This window comes from Homo sapiens, chromosome 13 (assembly GCF_000001405.40).
Source record: "Homo sapiens chromosome 13, GRCh38.p14 Primary Assembly".
Lineage (NCBI taxonomy): Eukaryota > Metazoa > Chordata > Mammalia > Primates > Hominidae > Homo > Homo sapiens.
The window spans coordinates 51,988,813-52,008,828 of record NC_000013.11 but is presented as its reverse complement, the minus strand read 5'-3'; the positions used below and the strand labels follow the sequence as shown (position 1 = coordinate 52,008,828).

At 43.7% G+C, this 20,016-nt stretch overlaps 1 protein-coding gene across 37 annotated transcripts in view, besides 1 other annotated feature; it reads left to right on the top strand.

Moving 5' to 3' along the window:
* The window catches only part of ATP7B (ATPase copper transporting beta), a 79,464-nt gene that overhangs the window by 3,304 nt on the left and 56,144 nt on the right, over nucleotides 1-20,016 (top strand). For 2 of the 37 annotated variants that reach the window (NM_001406543.1, NM_001406539.1), the window contains one exon: nucleotides 10,128-10,160. The exons of 34 other annotated variants lie outside the window; for them this stretch is intronic. The gene's annotated coding sequence lies outside the window, so the exon portion shown is untranslated. Of the gene's footprint in view, nucleotides 1-10,127; nucleotides 10,161-17,908; nucleotides 18,000-20,016 lie in introns of all 37 variants that reach the window. One more of the 37 variants, NM_001406518.1, reaches the window with a different exon arrangement.
* Nucleotides 12,502-12,796: a silencer, noted in NCBI's record as "tiled region #15635; HepG2 Repressive non-DNase unmatched - State 14:Gen5'". NCBI's record gives its function as "represses a minimal TATA promoter and a strong SV40 promoter by Sharpr-MPRA in HepG2 cells {active_cell/tissue: HepG2}" and the evidence as "EXISTENCE:reporter gene assay evidence [ECO:0000049][PMID:27701403]".

Genomic DNA, 20,016 nt, shown 5'->3' with positions numbered 1-20,016 from the left:
GGAAGATGCTGTTTTAAGTAGGTGGTCAGGGAATGATTTCTCTTGGAAGGTAGGATTTGAGTAGAGACCTGAATGATTCAGATTTCAGAGAAGTAGCCTAGGTTGAGAAACCATAAAGTGTGAGAGTCCTACGGCAGTCATGTGATAAGAAGAAATATATACTTGGTCTTGTCCCAAGTTCCTGACATAGAGCTTCTTAAACCGTTGTAATTTCCTGAGAGATGGTGATAAGAGCATCTTTTGTTATTCATAACAAGTCTCTTTCACCCCTACCTGAGTTTCTGTTAATGAGAGGGCTCTTGATAGGCCCCTAGATAGCTTCAGGATGGAGACTGATTGCCAGAAGAACCAACCATGTGATTAGGGGATTCGAATGTTCAGCCCCGTGCTCCAACCTCTGGAGATTGTGCCAATCACCAGTGGACAATGATCTAATCAGTGATGCCGGCAGAATAGAGCTTTCTTTAAATTTTTATTTATTTAGTTTTTTGAGAGGTAGTCTCACTCTGTTGCTAGGCTGGAGTGCAGTGGCGGGATCTCGGTTCACTGCAACCTGTGCCTCCCGGGCTCAAGTGATTCTCCGGCCTCAGCCTCCTGAGTAGCTGGGATTACAGGCGCACGCCACCACACCCAGCTAATTTTTGTATTTTTAGTGGAGACGGGGTTTCACCATGTTGGTCAGGGTCATCTCTATCTCTTGATCTCGTGATCCGCCCACCTCGGCCTCCCAAAGTGTTGGAATTACAGGCGTGAGGCCACTGTGCCTGGCCTTTTTTTTTTTAACCAATGCAGTGGATCACAAATAGAGCTTTCTTAAAAACCCTAAATGATGGGTTTTGGAGAGCTTCCTGTTAGTGAACACATCAAGGTGCTGGGAAGGTGGTTCCTGGAAAGGATATGGAAGCTCCTGGAAACCTCCATTCCCATATTTTGCCCTATCTTTTCCATGTGGTGGTTTCTTAGCTGTATTTTGTATAATAAACTGGTGATATTAAATAAAGTGCTTTCCTAAGTTCTGCGAGCTGTTCTAGCAAATTACCCAACCTGAGGAGGTAATTGTAGGAACCTCCTGACTTTACAGTTGGTCAGGAGTACAGATGGCCCAGACCCAGCGACTGGCATGTGAAGTGTGGGCATTCTTGTGGTCTTGTGGGCCTGAGCCCTTACCTGTGGGGTCCGTGCTAACTCCAGATGGTTGGTGTCGGAATTGAATTGAATTGTAGGGCACCCAGTTAGTGTCTGGAGAGAGAGCATTGGTTGGTGTGAAGAAAAACCCCACACATTTGGTGTCAGAAGTGTCGTGAGTGGAAACAGTACAGAAGACATGATGTTAGAGTTTGGGGAACAATAGGAAAGCCAGAGTGGCTGTGGCAGAGGGAAGGAGTGGGAGTGATAGAACAGGAGATCAGAGTTCATCATTGCTTTACAGATGGGGAAACTGAGCCAGACACAAGTTAAGTAACTTGCCCGATGTACCTTGCTTATAAGAGGCAGATCTAGGATTGAGTCCTAGCCAGGCCTGCCTGACTTTCTCAGCGATTTTTTATTGTCAAAACTTACTTGACACTTGGTCATACCACCTGGTATGATTATTTAATGAATATAGCTTTTATTTGCAACTCTGTGCTTCTTGAAATGGGAACCGGGTTTTTACCGTTTAAAAAACTATTTCCCACATGTAGGTGCACCACAGTTGTTCTTGAATGAATGGATTCTCGACATGATTTCTCCACATTGTTTTCTCTTCAGAGGCCTCTCTGTGGGGCAGCAGTGACCTGGTCATTCAGCCTTCAGTCCACAAACATTATGGAGCACTTTCTGTTTGCCTGGTACTGGGCCAAGCAGGGGGATGCATAGATGAAGAGAGGTCAGCCCCTGTGCTGGATGCATGCTGGGACAGAGCTGTCTACATGGTACAGCACCCACAGAAGGGGCAGAAAAATTCCTTCAGTGGGAGGTGGTGCTCGAGTGGGTCTTTCAGGAAGAGCAGGCATTGATTGGGCACACAGGAGCATGGAGAGAAGGGCATTGAAGGCAGAGACCAGCATGTATAAAGGTCCAGAGGACTGGAAATGGAAAGAGGCATTTAGGGGACTGTGAGGGGCGTGGCAAGGCTGGAAGAGTGGAAGGCTGGAAGGTCTGTGGAAGACCCTGTTTATCAGGCTAGGAGTTTGGACTTTACCCTACAGGAAAACAGCGTAAGTCACTCCTGCAAGGCAGAGGGTGAACTGGGCAGGGAGCTGCGGGAGACCAGCTAGAGACTGTTGGAAATGATCGTCCCCATCCAGACCAAAGGTGGCTGAAAAGCCTGAAAAAGAACTGTAAGTTGGGTCTTCTACCCTTATTCTTTATGGAATTGTCTTCTCAGTAGAGAAACTAGGCTATCCAAACTCAACTGTCCTGAGTATTAGAGGCCAGTGGTCGTTTTAGCAGCAACAGAGTGCAGTTGGTACCTACGGAGCAGGGTAATAAACTAAGCAAGTGACAGAGATGGATTTAAGTGCTTCTTTACGTGACACACATTTTCTTCTCAATGGGAGGGATGGAGATGGCCCAGTAACATGAACACTGCTCACTGATGCCATAGCATAGATATCGAGGAAGTATCCGTGTTCAGTGCTGAGAGCCCCGAACAAAGATTTACCCACGAATTTATTAACAGCAAGCCAGTCATTAGCATTGTTTCTATAGATATTCATTAACTAAAAGTATCCCTTATGGGAAAGGAAGGGATGGGCCGAAATAAAGGGGTGGGTCTGGCTAGTTATCTGCAGCAGGAACATGCCCTTAAGGCACAGATCGCTCATGCTGTTTGTGGTTTAAGGACACCTTTAAGCAGTTTTCTGCCCTGGGCGGGCCAGGTGTTCCTTGCCTTCATTCCAGTAAACCCACAACCTTCCAGCGTGGGCGTTACGGCCATCATGAACATTTCACAGTGCTGCAGAGATTTTGTTTATGGTCAGTTTTGGGGCCAGTTTATGGCTAGATTTTGGGGGGCCTGTTCCCAACAGAGGCACAAAGGGACTAAGATAGAAATTGGTACCAAGAAGTGGAGTGTTGGTATAACAGATCCCTGAAAATGCAGAGTTGGCTTTGGAACTGGGTAAAGGGTAGAGGCTGGAAGAGTTTGGAGGTACATGCTGGAAAAAGCCTAGATAGTGATAAACTAAGCATTAAGGATTATTTTGGTGAGGGCTTAGAAGAACAGAGCTGTAGACAGAACCTGAATCTTCTTAGAGATTACTTAAGTGGTCATGATCAGAATGTTGGTGGAAGTATGGACAGCAAAGGTCATTTTGATGAGGTCTTAGACAGAAATGAGGAATATTTTATTGGGAACTAGAGAAAAGCCCATTCTGTTTTTATTTATAAAATGGCAGAGAACGTGGGTCAGTTGTGTCTGTGCCCTAATGCTTTGTGGAGGATAGATGATGAACTAGATGAAGAGTGATGAACTAGGATATTTGGTGGAAGAAATATCTAAGCAGAGTGTGCAGGGTGCTGCATGGCTTCTCTTGATTGCTTATAAGAAAATGCAAGAAGAAAACAAATTAAAGACAGAAATTATAATCAAAAGGGAAGCAGAACTTAGAAAGATTTGGAAAATTTTCAGCCTGGCTAGATCATAAAGAATAAAAAGGCTGCTGGGAAGAATGACCTTAAAGGGATTTGGGAGGTCTTTGGGACTGCTCCTCCTGTCACAGGCCCAGAGTGCCTGGACCATGAGGGCAGGAGGGAGAGGACCATACCCCGCCAGCAGGTCTATGGGTCTAGTTGCCCAGGGCCACCTCGAGCCTCTGCTTCCTGCATTCTGCGGTGCTCCTTGGCCACCCCAGGTGCGGCTCAGGTGTGGCTTGGGCTGCTGCTCTGGAAGGTGCAGGCTATAAACCTTGGTGTCCATGTGGTGCTAACTGCAGCTGAGCAGAGTTCAAGAGCTGTGGAGTGTGGCTACTTTCATCTAGATTTCCGAGGATGTCTTGGAGAACCCGGGGCCCAGGCAGAAAACGTCTATGGGGAAGAGCCACCACAGAGTGCCCCCACTAGGGCAGTACCATCAGTCATGAATTGGGCAGTGCCAGACTACATAGTTCAGGGCTCCATCTAGGGGGAATGAGGGAAAGACTTTGTAAGTGTTCAGGGAAGCAAAACAAAGAGAATAATTGATTGGTTAAAGTAGAAAGGCCTAGTTATAAGCTGTCATGAGATTGGAGAAAAAAATAAAAATAAGGAATAAAAAAGACCCTAGTTAGAGTTTAGTTGGTGGTTCCTGATTGATGAAGTCTCTAGTTAGAGATAGTTAATGGATTGTGATTGGTTAAGCTAAGCTTTGTTTTACTGTTTATATTGAGTTGGGTTTGGTTTGCTTACATAGGAACCTGAAATGTTGGAGTCATCTCAGCCTAATTGCTTCCTGATTAATGATTTGTTAACACAAGTTAGGATGCAACTCCATCTTCCTGATACCTCATGGCCTAAAACAGTTGTTGGTGCTGCAGCCGTGTATTTCAAGTTGCACATAGCTGAAATAAGGGAAAGGCAAGGATAATCCTGCTCTCTCTTTTTTTTTGAGACAGAGTCTTGCTCTGTCAGCCAGGCTGGAGTGCAGTGGCACGATTTTGGCTCACTGCAACCTCCCTCTGCCGGGCTAAGGAAACTCTTCTGCCTCAGCCTCCCGAGTAGCTGGGTTTACAGGCATGTGCCACCATGCCCGGCTAATTTTTGTAATTTTTTTTAGTAGAGACGGGGTTTCACCATGTTGGCCAGGCTGGTCTTGAACTCCTGACCTCAGGTAATCCGCCCCCCTCGGCCTCCCAAAGTGCTGGATTACAGGTGTGAGCCACCGCGCCCGGCCAGTCCTGCTGTCTTTTAGGGAGCCTGCTTAGGAGCCCTGACAAACAACTTTGCCTTATATTCCATTGGCTAGAACTTTGGCCAGTTTTCAACATCTTAAAATGGGAAGATTTTACTATGTAAAACTCCAGCTATCCACCTTCTCTCGGAAGCTCTGGTGACACCAGGCCTTTTGACAACAGTTGGCTGGAGCTGAGGAACAGCTGCCTGCTCCAGGTGGGGCATGAGCTCCTCCTGTGGCCGCAAGCCCCGCATGGCCTGTTCTGCTCATTTAAGTCACTGCCTACTTGTGACAGTACAGGCAAACCTTTGCTTTATTGCCCTTTTGCAGATGCTGTATTTTTTTTTTTTACCAGTTGAAGGTTTGTGGCAACCCTGCACTGAGCAAGTCTACTGACGCCATTTGTGTAACAGCATATACTCACTTCATGCCACATTTTGGTAATTCTCACAATATTTCAGATTTTTCATTATTATTATATCTGTTACGGTGATCTGTGATCAGTGCTCTTTGATGCTACTGTTATAATCATCTTGGGGCCCGTGTAAGATGGCAAAGTTAATCTATAAATGTGTACATTCTGACTGCTCCACTGACTCCAGCAGTTCATGTCTCTGTCTCTCCCTCCCTCTCAGGTCTCCCTATTTCCTAAGACACAACAATATTAAAATTAGGCCAATTAATAACCCTACAATGGATTCTAAGTGTTCAAGTGAAAGAGTCCACTCCCTTTAAATCAAAAGCTAGAAATGATTAAGCTTAGTGAGGAAGGCTTGTCAAAAGCTGAGATAGGCTGAAACCTAGGCCTCTGGTGCCAAACAGTTAGCAAAGTTTTTAATGCAAAGGTAAAGTCCTTGAAGGAAAGTAAGTACTACTCTAGTGAACAGATAAATGATAAGAAAGCAAAACAGCCTTACTGCTGATATGGAGAAAGTTTTAGTGATTTGAACATAAGATCAAACCAGACACAACATTCTCTTAAGCCAAAGCCTAGTCCAGAGCAAGGTCCTCAGCATTGAAGCAAGGCCTTCCACTAGCAGAAAGACCATGACTTACTGACAGCTCAGATGATTGTTAGCATTTTTTTGCCATAACATATTTTAAAATTAAAGTATATGTATTTTTTTAGGCATAATGCTATTGCACACTTGATAGACTATAGTGTAAACATAACTTTTATATGCACAAGGAAACCAAAACCTTTGTGTCACTCACGTTATTAGGATATTTGCTTTATTGTGATGATCTAGAACCAAACCCATGGATATCTCTGAGAGATGCCTGTATTTGAGCTTAGATCCCTGGCTTGAAGGGATAAATGAATGAGTAAGTGAGGGAGGAGGGAGCCAGCTTTTGCATGAGGCTTGCTCCCTTCCCCTCCCCTCCCCTCCCCTCTCCCCTCGCCTCCCTGCCCCTCTTGTTTCACAGGTTCTCTGTTGCTCAGGTTGGAATGCAGTGGCAGGCTCACTGCAGCCTGGATCTCCTCGGGCTCAGGTGATCCTATCACCTCAGCTTCTCGAGTAGTTGGGACTGCAGGCATGTGCCACCATGCCCAGATAATTAAAAACATTTTTTTTTTTAGAGACACGGTTTCACCATGTTGCCCAAGCTGGTTTTAAACTCCTGGGCTCAAGTGATCCTCCCATTTCAGCCTCTCAAAGTGCTAGGATTACAGGTGTTAGCCCCCACGCCTGGCCCTGAATGTTGAGTATTGTCGGAAAGTTTAGCAGTCCTTTTACAGCAAGCACATTTGTAAGTTGTTTTTGCTTGGCATTCTTTGTCATTCATTTAACAAATGCTTATTGAGAAATTCTTTAAGTGTCAAGCACTGTTTTAGACCTTGGAATAAAGCAGTGACTGAACAAAATAGATGTGAAGAGGCTGTGTGTGGTGGTTCAGACCTCTAATCCCAGCACTTTGGGAGGCCAAAGTAGGCGGATTGCTTGAGCTCAGGAGTTCGAGGCCAGCCTGGATAACATAGTGAAACCCCTGTCTCTACTAAATAAATAAATAAATAAGCAAGCTGGGCATCGTGGCACGCACCTGTAGCCCCAGGTACTTGGGAGGCTGAGATGGGAGGATCACTTGAGCCAGGGAGGCGGAGGCTGCAGTGAGCCAAGATCATGCCACTGCACTCCAGCTTGGGTGACAGAGTGAAACCCTGTCCTTAAAAAAAAAAATGTGAAGGATTCCTGCACTTGTGAAACTTATATCCTAACTGGGGAGATAGTTGTTAAAAAGAGTAAGTAAAAGATGTATTATTGCATTTGGTGGTGATTGAGAATTCTCAAGAAAAATAAGACAGGGAAGGATGATAGGGAATTGGGAGTGTATGAAATTTAGATGGGATCATTTGGGGGAAATCATTGAGAAGTTGACGTTTGAGCAAAGATTTCATGGAGGTGAGGAAGTGAGCCCTTTGGATATGGGATGTTGGAGGGAGGTATTTCTAAGCTAGTAGACAGTTCCGGAGGCAGGTGTATGCTTTGCTTACCTAAGGAACAGCAAGATCAGAATGACTGTTTCAGAATGAGTAAGGGGCCAGGAGTGTGAGGATAAGTTGGAAGGTAATGGGAGGGCTGCAACTGTATAGTCTTACAGGTCATCATTGTAAGGATTTTAGGTTTTATTAAGCACATGGGAACCCCCTAGAGGCATTTTAGAGGAATGACATCTTGTGACTTCCTCTTATAGGTATTCTGACTTTTGTGTTGAGAATAGACTTTAGGGGCTAAGAGCAGAAGCCAGGAGGTCGCTTAGGAGATTCTAAGCAATAGTGCAGGTGAGATGAGCTGGTGGCTTGGACCAGGGTTCTTGTGGATGTGTTGAAGTCATTAGATGCTGGATGCATTTTGTTGGTGGAACTAACAGGATTTGCTAAACATTTACATGTGGGTTTGAAAGAAGATGATTCTTTTTTACTTTTTAATTTTAAATTCATTTTAATTATTATTTTTGAGACAGAATCTCACACTGTCACCCAGGGTAGAGTGCAGTGGTCCAATCACAGATCGCTGCAACCTCCACCTCCTGGGCTCAAGTGATCCTCCCACCTCAGCCTTCTGAGTAGCTGGGACTACAAGTGTGCACCACCATGCCCAGCTAATTTTTTATTTTTTGAAGAGATGGTGTCTCACTATGTTGCCCAAGCTGTTCTGAAACATCTGGGCTCAAGTGGTCCTCCTGCCTTGGCCTTCCAAAGTGCTGGGATTACAGGCATGAGCCCCTGCACCTGGATGAGATTATTCTTATCAAAGAGGGATCCAGGATTTTTTCCTGGGCAAGTGGAGGGAAGGAGTTGTATTTACTAAGGTGGGGAAGACTGTGGGAGCAGCAGGGGAAGGGCAGAATGTTGAGAGCTCTGTTGTAGACAAGTTAAGTTTGCGATGCATATGAAACACCGAGGAGATGGTGATGAGGCATTTGGGTCTGTAAGTATAGAGTTGGGAATTGTAGGCTATAGGTGGTGATATAGTCTGAATGTTAATGTCCCTGCCAAATTCATATGTTGGAACCTAACCCCCAAGGTGGTGGTATTAGGAGGTGAGGACTTTAGGAGGTGATTTGGCCATGAGGGCTCTGCCTTCTCGAATGGGATTAGTGCCCTTATAAAAGAGGCTTGAGGGAGCCACTTTGCTCTTCTGCCATTTGAGGATGCAGCAGCAAGGCACCATCTGTGAAGCAAAGAACAGCCTTCACCGGATACTGAATCTGCTGGCTCCTTGATCTGGGACTTCCCAGGTTCCTGAACTGTGAGCAATAAATTTTTGTTGCTTATAAATTACCCAGTCTAAGGTATTTTGTGATAGCAGCCTGAGTGAGCTAAGAAAGGTATACTTCTCCTGGCCTGGATGAGTGTACAAGGAATGAGTAGAGATGGAAGAGGTCCAAGGGCTGAGCTGGGGGCCACTGCAGCACTTGGAGGTTTGGGGACTTGGAGGCTCTGGTGAAAGACTCTGAGTAGGAGCTGTTGGTGGGAAGGATAGGAGGAAAATCAGGAGGTGGGGCAACTTGGAGGCTGAGCTTGGAGACAAGGACTGGTCACCTTGGGCAGTGTGTCACTGGCTGAGAGTAAGTATGGGGGTGGGCACTGGGGACCTGAGGAGCCAGAGAGGGGATAGGACCACTGTCTCGGAGAGCGAAGGGTGAGCGGACTAGGGGGTAGTTGGACTGCCAGGTGGCAGCACGGGTCCTCCCGCAGTTCGTGGTGCTGAATCAGAGTGTGGGCAGCCAGCCTGGATGTGCGTTCTGTCACATTCTTGTTGAGCTGCTAGAGGACAGGCGTGAAGCCAAGTGGAACTGAGAGTAAAGCCGTGTTGGAGTTTTGCAGGAAGGTGCCAGATGATGAGGGCAGCCAGCGAAGTCGAAGGTGCATGGAATGAACTGTGAAATGGAAACATTGGCTTTTACTTTTCGATAATCCCATTGTTTCTCTTTTTGGCCATCCCATCTCTTCGTAATTTAGAACTATCATAATCGTTTTTCACTCAAGACTGTTCAGCCAAGTGCAGTTTATTTAAGAGCACTCCTTCAGTGAGCTTACTTAGGTATGTGTGTGTTTGTGCCTGTCTCCTGTTAATAAGCTGATATGAAAGTCCTGCTGAGCTAGTTGTTTCAGTCTTGGAGATCAGCAGCGATATGGGGAGGAGAAGCCAAGCCTCTGTTAAAGCCCACCAGTCCTTCCCTCCCCCGCTCCCAGCACCTAGTGTTTGAGGAATTCAGACTTTGAATACTGCTCTTTGCTACTGTTCTTCTCTCCTAACTTGCCAGTAAACTTCCAAGGGCAGTATGTGTCTTGTGCTCCTCTCCTGGTCTTCTGTTGTGCATACACTTAAATACGGCTCTCAGGCTGTGAATAATCTGCTTTGGTTAACACTCCCCTCTGTTCTGAAGGCTGGGCTGCTAGAGCCCTGACTGTTGGTGGCTGTGCTGTTTGCAGTGCTCATGTTCTCTTCTTGGGAACCCAACATATGCAGCTTTAATGTCAGGCTCTGCCCTCCTGTCCTGTCACAGGATCCGGGACTCCTCTCCCCATCTTGGGAGGGATGGCCTGGGGATTTCGTCTGGGAAGCCCTGCCCAGTGTGAGCCTCTAGCTGGACTGAGCAGGTAATGTTTGTGAGTGCTGAAATATTTTAACCAGATGTCCCTCCTCCAAAGAGCCCTTTGTCCTGGAGGTTCATGGAAACATGAGCTGCCCATCTGCCTTTGGGCCCAGGCTTCTCAGGTTGCAACAAGATTGTTTAGGACACCAAAGAGATATTTATTTTTATACAGGAAAAATCCACAGACTGGGAAGGCGAATAGGAGGTAAAGAAGATGAATTTTCTTCTGGAAAATGGCTCGTGAAATTTGTACATATGGAAGACAGAATAATCTAGTGCAAGGAAATCCTTGAAGACCTAGAAGAAATATGTGAGGGACTGATAGAGTTTGCCCTTGTGTTGTGGTAAGGGGGACAAAAAGTACCATGAAATTCTAGGTAGAAAGCACATTCTGAGCAGTATATAATTGAACTCATTTATTTAAATATGGTTAAATATACTTATTCAAATGTAAATATGTAAATATTTAACTGCTTAAATATACTTATTTAATGTCTGATATTGTTCATCACCATGTTAGGTCTGTGGGCAGCTAAGATATGAGATCCTTGTGTTCCAGGATCTGACCACGTTTCCCAAAGTGAGCACATGCCCATAGGCATCAGTAACAAGTGTGGACTGAGCTGACTGCAGCCTCGGTGGACAGAGAAGACTTGTCCTCCAGCAGTGTTACAGGCTGACCACCTGCTGGCACCCTGATGTTGACATTAGTGATGCTGGAATTCAGATAAGGGAGAGAGCTGCTAGCAGGATTCCACAGAGAGGCAGGACTTAAAGGATAAGAAGGATTAGATGGTGCCGGGAAGGGGAGGAGCAGGGAAGCCAGGGTCAGGTGTGAGGAAAGGGGAAGGTGCTAGAAAGAGGAGTTTGGACTTAATACTGTAGCCTAGGAAGGTGGCCCATGCCTTGGCTGTTCCACACGTCTCTTAGATTCTATGGGAGCAAAGGAGAAGCCACTGTGTTTACCCCAGACTTGCCTTCTTCCCACCCTCCCCGCTCATCTTGGTGTACTCATCACCATGTGCTCAATCTGCGAAACTGGAAATGGCATTGTCATCCTCAGGCCCCCACTTTTTGTCACCTGCTGTGATCCAGCAGTCACTGAGTTGGGAGGCCTCCTCGTTTGTTTAATCGTATTCTACTATTAAATTTTCTGCCCCTTGTAATCCCTCCTCTCCTGGGTCTTCATTCTTGTTTCTGCCCAAACTGTTTCCAGATCACAAATATGATTCTGTGAGTTCTCTCCTCAGAAACTCCTGGTGATTCTACACCACCCACAGGACAAAGTCTAGACTCTGCCCTTTCTAACCTGGCCCCAGCCCCCTTTTCTGGCTGTCTTCTGGGTCTGAGCCACCATCTAGAAATGGTTTGAATGGTGAAGTATTTCAATTTCATGGAGCTAACAGAATAGATTATTTAAAAGCATGTGGGACATATGATCCCAACATATTTTCCTTATTAGCTATTCATAGGCACAGCACAGAAGAAGCATTTATATTTATAATGATCTCATGTCACCAAGGAAAAGTTAAAATATGTTCAATAACTCACTTTAAAAGGCAGCGGAAAAATAGATGTCACTTATGGGGAATATTTTCACCCAGAATGACAAAATTTTTAAAAAATCTAATGCTCAAAGCGATGAGCTTCAGTTACCTGGAAAATCTACTTCTGATGCCCCATAAATGAAATGTCAGGTGGTCAGCAGGGCATGTGAGGCTCCTGATAGATCCTTTCAGGAAGGGAGAGACATAGATAAGCAAGACCTGAAGAATCACTAGAAAGCAATCACAGATGCACCTGATGTATTTACATGGGCTCCCATAGAGGCAGCTGCACAGCCCCACAGTGCTGGCCTCTGGCAGGGAGGCTAGGGTTGGGGCTCAAGGCCTTTAGCATCAAATATACCTTTCCTTTGATGAAAATGGGTTTGAATGACATTTCTTGGAAATTGAGGCAGGTTCTTTGTTTTTTGGCTGAGCACTTAGGAGATAAGAAACAAACCCAGACACATTTTGGAGGAGTTGGTTGCTCAGCGTGTGCTTTAGAAGTGATAGCAACCGCCACAAGTGTGGTAAGAAGCAGCAGGATAAAGCAGGCACGAAGGGGCTTTGGTGCATGGACCAGCCTTGGTGTTGCCTTTCCTCAAAGAGAACAGATCTCTCAGTCAGGAGTTCTTGGGGCAGGGATGACAGTGTTAATGGGGGAGGAAGCGTCACTGTGGGCAACCTATGAGGAGGCAGCCTTCAGTGACCTTGGGCATGTGTTCTGAGTGCCCTCACTGGGTGCACACCTTAGTGACCCCCTGCTGGTACATTCTGCTGTGAAGAATAACACGGAGAGACAGAGTGATCATTTTACCCTGAATTCAATTCCACACTCACTTGCAGCAGGAGGTATGGCTGGAATTAGTGGCTGTGGTGGAGCTGTTCCTGCCATGGGGGATGTGGTCTCTCCTTCTGGTCCCCGAGTGGTGGGGTGGGAATGGAGGCAGCGCTGCCCGACAGAGCAGGCTGCTGCTGGAATTACCACAGTGTCGTGTGTCTCCTCCTATTAATCCCCATGTGGAACAGCAGGTAGCCTGAGAAGCCTGAATTGTGCCTTAGTTCCTGGCCGTGGTGCTGCTTAAACAGATGAGCCTTGTTAGCCAGTTTGTGCAGTCAGTTCTTACTGAAGTCAAGCCTTTGGTCCAAGGGAAAACAAAGCTACAGGAAACATGGAACTTTCTTACACCTTCTTGAAAATACAAGTCATGTTGCCTAGGAAATACTTCTCTCACCAAGTATTCTGCACGCTGCCAACATTGGAGCTGTGGAAGAGGCAGCTGAAGCAATTCCAAGAAAGTGCTAGCAGTTTGGTAATAAAAGGAAGTGGCATATCTCTCCTGCCTCTAGACTGGGTTTCTAGGAGTGCACATGGCCAAAAGGAAACTGCTGCACTCTGGCAAGTGATTACATGTTGTGCTCATGGACACCTTGGCCGGGTGTCCAGTGTGCACTGGGTGAGGGTGTGCATGGGCTGTGTGCAAAGATCTGCAGTGCTGCACACAGTGTGTTGAGTGAGAGGGTGCCAAGTGCTGGGACGGTTGTAGATAAACAAAAGCAAATAGGTGCAGTACTGTGCAGCCTGCCCAAGTTCCCAAAGCTTGCTGCCAGGCTGAAGACTGCTGGCAGCCTCTCCTGGGCTGGGTCAGGAGTAGAAGGGTGTCTTCCCCTTGCTAATTAGGAGGACACTTCTAAAGCATTTCTCTCTAACACAACCAAATAGTCTGCTGAAGGTGAACTGCTTTAGTGAGGAGGGAAGCCGTGGCCGTGAACTCAGCGATAGAGAAAGCCAGGGGTGATGTGCCCCAGAGCCCCGAGCAGTCCTTCCTGGCAACTCTGAGTGACCAACATGTGACCCTGCTGTCTGTCCACAAGCAGTGGTCCTTTAGGAAGAGCCCTGGGGTTAGGCATTCAGCCAGGCCAGTGTCTACTGTGGAGGAAGGCACTCCACCGTCAGAGGAAGGAGAATTTCCACAGAGAGTTTTGAATGGAACCTGGGAAATGAGTTCCAGTCAGGTCAGTGCAATTGCAGATGGGCTAAAAAGCCTGGAAGGGCCTGGACCCATTTTAAAGATGGAGGTTTCTCTCCATGTCTCTTGTGTGGGATATTGGGGAGAGGTCTGGGGAGCGGAATGAGAGTGTGAATGTAGCACCTGGCAGGAGTCAAGCTGATTAATTACACCATGGCTTGGAAGTTTGGGTTTTGTTGCTTTTTATTTTCAGAATATTTTGTAAGACTCTATGAAGCAAAAGTTTTCCACAATGCAAGTCAAACAAAAATGAATCCTTCCTTCTTTTTACTAATATGTTTTATAGTGTATACCTTATTTTGTTAATCTGTACATTTTAACTAAACATTTTGAAAATGCTGCAAAATGAAGTTCCTTTTCTTAAGCAAGTTGAAGTTTTGTTACTCCAAAGGTTAGGTCATGTCCAAAAGTAAGACAGTATAACGTTTTGTAAAAATGGTGCCTTTTAGCAGCATTTCTGAGCAGACTGGTGGTGTGTACAGGGTCTTCTTCATTGACCTAGTCAGACGAAAATAAAAAACAACTTTTGAAGGCATTTACTAGTTAGATACAAAGGAAGGTTTCATAAGTACTTTGCTTCCTCTAAGACTTATTTTTGTGCTGTTCATTGGTTAAAGTCCCAAAGACTAAAGGAAATTTTGTGAAAAGAACTTTCAAATGTGCTATGCAAGAGATTTACATACGTTGAAATCACAGGGTACTTGGATATTGAAGACAGAAACTCCTTTTGAGTATTTAAAGATTCTGCATTTTGCTATCAGGTTTTTAACCAAGGATATAACTATGCTCGGAGGTATTTATTTTAAAATATTAAAAGTGTTTTTTGGTGTTCTGAATTTGTGGAAATTTCCAAGAGACTCCTTTAAAGTTTTTTCCTAGGCAAATTTAAAAATATGAAATGTAGAATTATTCAGTGGCTGCCCGTTTGGGTAGCTTCTACACAGAGGTTCGAGTGGTTTTAGGGGAGGGAAGTGAGGTGATAGATACAATTTTAATTACTTTGTTTTCTAAAGTAGTTTTATAAATTTCATTTTATGTCTCTTTAAACTGTATTAAGCCAGTAGCTAAACTAATGTGTTAAATCACTTAGAATTTTAAAGAGTGACAGAGCGTTTAATCTTTTAATCAGCCTTTTCATATGTTGCCGGTTTATACAATATACGGTGAACATTTATACTTTTAGCCATGTGTTTAAAATAGTGAAATACTAAATATGTTGGGGTGAAAATGCTTGAGGCATTTTTAAAAAATGTCCAAACTGTTACTTTACAATTTCCAGCCTATATCTGAAGTTTTGAGATATGACGTGTGCTGGTGATTTTTAAGGCCAGCACCAATCTGTGACTAGTGGGGCGACCTGAAGCTGACTAGGGGAGCCTCTTCAGAAAGGAGGGCTGGGGAAGAGGCCTTGGTGGAGGGGATCTGAGTGCAGACCCAACACAAGTTGTGGGACCTGGGCAGGTGAGTCTTGGACACTCTCCTTTAGATTCTTCATTGCAAAGTGGATGATAAATCCTGCCTCATATGATTGTGAAAGCACTTTGTAGATTATCATGCAAATGCAAAATAGTGTTACTTCTGCCAAAATTATGCTTTTTCAGAAGAATTTCCAACTCTGAGATATGTTTGATGTGTTGTCTGAAGGTCTGGACAGGACTGTGATAACCCAGTAATCTATCTGAGCACAGTTGCAACTCTATTTTTCCTTTGTTTGTTTTTTTCTAAGTTTTTTATTTTGGGACATGGTCTCTTGCTGATGCCGAGGCTGGAGTGCAGTGGCATGATCATGGCTCATAGCACCCTCGACCTTCCGGGTTCAAATGATTTTCCTGCCTCAGCCCCCTGAGTAGCTGCCACCACAGGTGCATGCCACCATTTCCAGTTTCTCTTTATTTGTAGAGATGTGGTCTCCCTATGTTGCCCAGGCTGGTCTCAAACTCCTGGGCTCAAATGATCCTCCTGCCTCCCCCTCCCAAAGTGCTGGGATTATAGATGTGAGCCACCGTGCCTGGCAGCTCTATTTTTTCTAAAGCTCTGATTATAAAAGTAACATATACTCTATATAAAAAACAAATTTACGATGGAACGAGGAGAATACAAAAAAGTATAAAGAAAAAGCAGTCGTTTTCCCAACAAATATGAATGTGTATACGTGTATGTATGTTTATGTTTACATAATGTATATTTTTAAAATAAATATGGGATCAAATTATACATACTATCTTATACTTTGCATTTCTTACTGAATATTTTGTGGACATTTCTGTATGTCAATATATATGTAAATCTGTATTATCTTTTTTTTTTTTTTTTTTTTTTTGAGACAGAGTCTTGCTCTGTCATCCAGGCTATAGAGTGCAGTGGCGTAATCTTGGCTCACTGCAACCTCCATCTCCTGGGTTCAAGTGATTCTCCTGCCTCAGCCTCCAGAGTAGCTGGGACTACAGGCACCTGACACCATACCTAGCTAATTTTTGTGTTTTTAGTAGAGATGAGGTTTCCCCATGTTGCCCAGGCTGGTCTCAAACTCCTGAGCTCAAGTGATCCACTCACCTCAGCCATCCAAAGTGCTGGGATTACAGGCGTGAACCACCCTGCCTGGCCTATATAATCATTTTTTATTGCAGTTCCACTTTTAAATTTAGGATTAATTTTTAGAAAGAATTTAGTTATCCTTAAATAGAAGAAATTTGCAGTAGCTGGTTTATGATTATAAAAACCAACCCAAAAGTTAATTTCAATTGTGACTCAAAGTCTGTTATAAATCAGCTTTGCACCTTGAGAACTAACATTTAGCACTTGGTATATGGTAGGAACCTTACTCTTGTCACTTAATCATTTTAACAACTTTAGTAGGTATCATCAGTCCACCTTTAACAGACGAGAAAGCTGAGTGAGAGCTTAGGTTTCCTGAAAAATTTAATCCCAGGTCCGTCTGATGACAAGTCCTTGCTTTTCCATTGGAACACTGAAGTATTATTTAATACACTGGGCAAAATAGAGTTTTGAAAGTATTGGAAAACTGCTAATTCATAGTGAATGGAAAGTTAGCTTTTAGGTGGCACGTTGTTCAGAAAGGCCGCTGCTATGAATAAAACATTTAAAAATTGCTGTTTATGCCTAGCAGATTTGTTTGCTTATATTTTACATTTCTTTTTTTTTTTTTTTACATTTCTTACACAATGCAGAGTACATTCTGTACAATGTAGAATGAAATCATGACTTTGGAAAACCTGTTTCTTTGATTCTTCTATGTTTCAGACAGGCAGAGAGGGGAAAAAGATCTGTTTTAAAAGGCATAACTGGTAAAAGCTCAGAGTCTGGAGGGCACATTTCCGCCCGCTCCTCTCCCACATTAGAAAGTTTCTGTTTGCTGATGTGAGCAGGGCTAAGCCTGGTGAGGTTCCTAGGAATTAATTATGAAAAGGGGGAAATAGGGAGGAGGGCCTTCCCCGCAAATCCCCTCCATAAGAGCACGCTAACCAGAGTAGAAGTCAGGGGCTCCGTGCTTTGGCCCAGGTGTTCCTATCAAAGGTTCCACAGACAACCTTTCAGGCCCAGAATGGTGAGCTGGAGAGGAATGGGTGCCTGCCACTGAGGCTCTCCCTTCTCTAGCCCCTCCTTAACTCTCTCCTCTACTTGTCTTGGCAGGTGGGAAATGGTTGGAGGTTACTAGAAAGTTGTTCCAGCTGTATACAGAATTACCCTTTGTTTCCAGAAACAACTGCTTAAGCCTCCTTACTCATGACTCTGTTGACTTCTTTGGCCAAGCTTGGCTGCTGTTTTTTTTTGTTTGTTTTTTTCCCGACAGGGTCTCACCGTGTCACCCAGGTTGGAGTGCAGTTGCCGCAGATCTTGGCTCACTGCAACCTCCACCTCCCGAGCTCAAGGGATCCTCCCATCAGTGATCCTCCCACCCTAGCCTCCTGAGTAGCTGGGACTACAGGTGCACACTGGCTGCTGTTTTAATTTGTCATCGTATCCTGTATCTGACAGAGTTCAGTCCATGGTATCAAGCTATTGACTGAGTGAACAAATGAATGAACTAGAAGTAGATTTATACTGCAGCAGGGAGGATTGATGTTAGACACATTGAACTGATGGTGACTATAAGGTTGTTACGTGGTGGACTTAGCATTTTTAGAGACCAGAATATGGAATTTTGTTCTTAGGTAAGTGGTGGTTAGGTTCTTTTTTTTTTTTCTTTAAATATGAGACAGAGTCTCGCTCCGTCGCCAGGCTGGAGTGCAGTGGCGCGATCTTGGCTCAGTGAAAGCTCCGCCTCCCAGGCTCAAGCGATTCTTCTGCCTCAGGCTCCTGAATATCTGGGACTACAGGTGCATGCCACCACGCCCAACTAATATTTGTATTTTTAGTAGAGATGAGGTTTCACCGTGTTGTCCAGGATCGTCTCAATCTCTTGACCCCGTGATCCACCTGCCTCGGCCTCCCGAAGTGCTGGGATTACAGGTATGAGCCATTGTGCCAGGGTGGGTTCGGTTTTATTTTTGCCTAGTTGAAATCAGGATGACTTGGCTGGCACAGATATATCCCTTCTAAAATAAAGGAAAAACAATAAATGAAGTGGTGTGATCTAGTCATTTAAAGAAGTTATCTGTCATTATGGAATCATCAGCATTCGCTATTATTTTATTTGCTTTTGTAGAGACCATTTGAAGTGGATTCTTGAATTTAGTTTTTCCTAAAAGTAGTATCTGCTGGATACAAACATTAGTAGCAAAGTATAGAAGTGTAGTTCTTTTCCTCTCTTAGATAAAGAGGACTGTCTTAATACAGTTCTGCAACTTTTTTTTCTTTTTAACATCATGGAAGTCTTTCCACGTCAATACATGTAAATTCACCTATTTTTAAAAAACCATGACATAGATTTCTGTTCGATGGACTATATTTTATGTAGACAGTTCTCTATAGAAGAATATTGAGATGGTTTCCAGTTTTTCACTATTTGAATGTAGCAATGAACATTAATATGTAATTGTATATCTATATGGTAAAATTCCCAGAAGTGGAATTTCTAGGACAAAAGCAGTAATACTTTTTGAAGAGCAATTAGGCAAAATTTAGCTTTCTACAAACAGTGGTTAAGAACTGTTTTTCCTTATACTCTTGTTTACTGTATCATCAGACTTTTTAAATTAATAAAATAACATTTATTTTATTAATGTTATAATAAATGTTATTTTAATTTTAAAAAAGATTTATTAGATACTTAATATTTCTTTTTCTAAGGATTATTTTAAGTAGCATTTCCCATCATGCATTTATAGAGTAGTGCTAATTTATAAACATTAGGTTTGTACATGTCTTAAAGGAATACATTTGTTTTATGTGTCATACCTATAATTCTAGGCAGAAACCAATACTCCTTGGAGTACAGAGTAAAAAAAATAAATAAATAAAACCTCTTTGTTGGGAAAGGCTTGAAATACAGAGTGTTATTAGAGAAGATTCTGAAGCAGGAAAATGCTGTTAATTGATAAAAGTTAGATGGAATAATTGTTACAATAGACATAAATTAAAAGCAGCACATTCTCTGAAACGGTTGATTATAAAGCTGTGTAGCACGAGATTGTGAATGGGTTTTCTAAGATAATATTGTGAAGTGCTCCTTGGAGACGATACCCTGTCTTATAGTTTGTGAATTTCTAAATTTCATTTTGTTGTATATTGAAAATAACATATTTGTATGTACATATGTGGTGAGGTTTGTTAATTTTGTTTTTAATTTTACTCACTTTTTTTTTTTTAGGCAAGTGTCAGATATGCTACATTTTGTTTCTCAGTAAGGGTTAATATTTTCCCTTGCTGTGGTTGAGAGAAGCAAATAGGCAATGAATAGTCATTTGCACAGAATTACCCAGAAAGTTTACAGTCTGTCCTCAGAAGGGCAGAGATTGGGTTAATGCACACATAGCCCTGGCACATAGTAGGCCCTCCTATGTGTTTGAATGAATGCCTTCATTTTTAAAGTAGATAAAATTTAAATAATTGTCAGTGGAAAGTCTTTTTGGACCATTGTGAAACAGGATTCAAGGCCAGAGTGAAGGGCTTGGGGGAATATGTACACTACTTTTAATAATTAGTTTGCCTTATCAGTAAAATGGAGAAAACTATGTAGAGTACTCGAACCTTCCTGGGTCATGTTTGAAGATCAAATGAGGTGATGTTTGTCTTCATAGTCATTTGTTTTCAAACATGTATGATGTTAATCTTTTTTTAAAAAATTATACTTTAAGTTCTGGGGTACATGTGCAGAACGTGCAGGTTTGTTACATAGATATACACGTGTCATGGTGGTTTGCTGCACCCATCAAACCGTCATCTACATTAGGTATTTCTCCTAATGGTATCCCTCCCCTAGCCCCCCCACCCCCGACAGGCCCCAGTGTGTGATGTTCCCCTCCCTGTGTCCATGTGTTCTCATTGTTTAGCTCCCACTTATGAGTGAGAACATGCACTGTTTGGT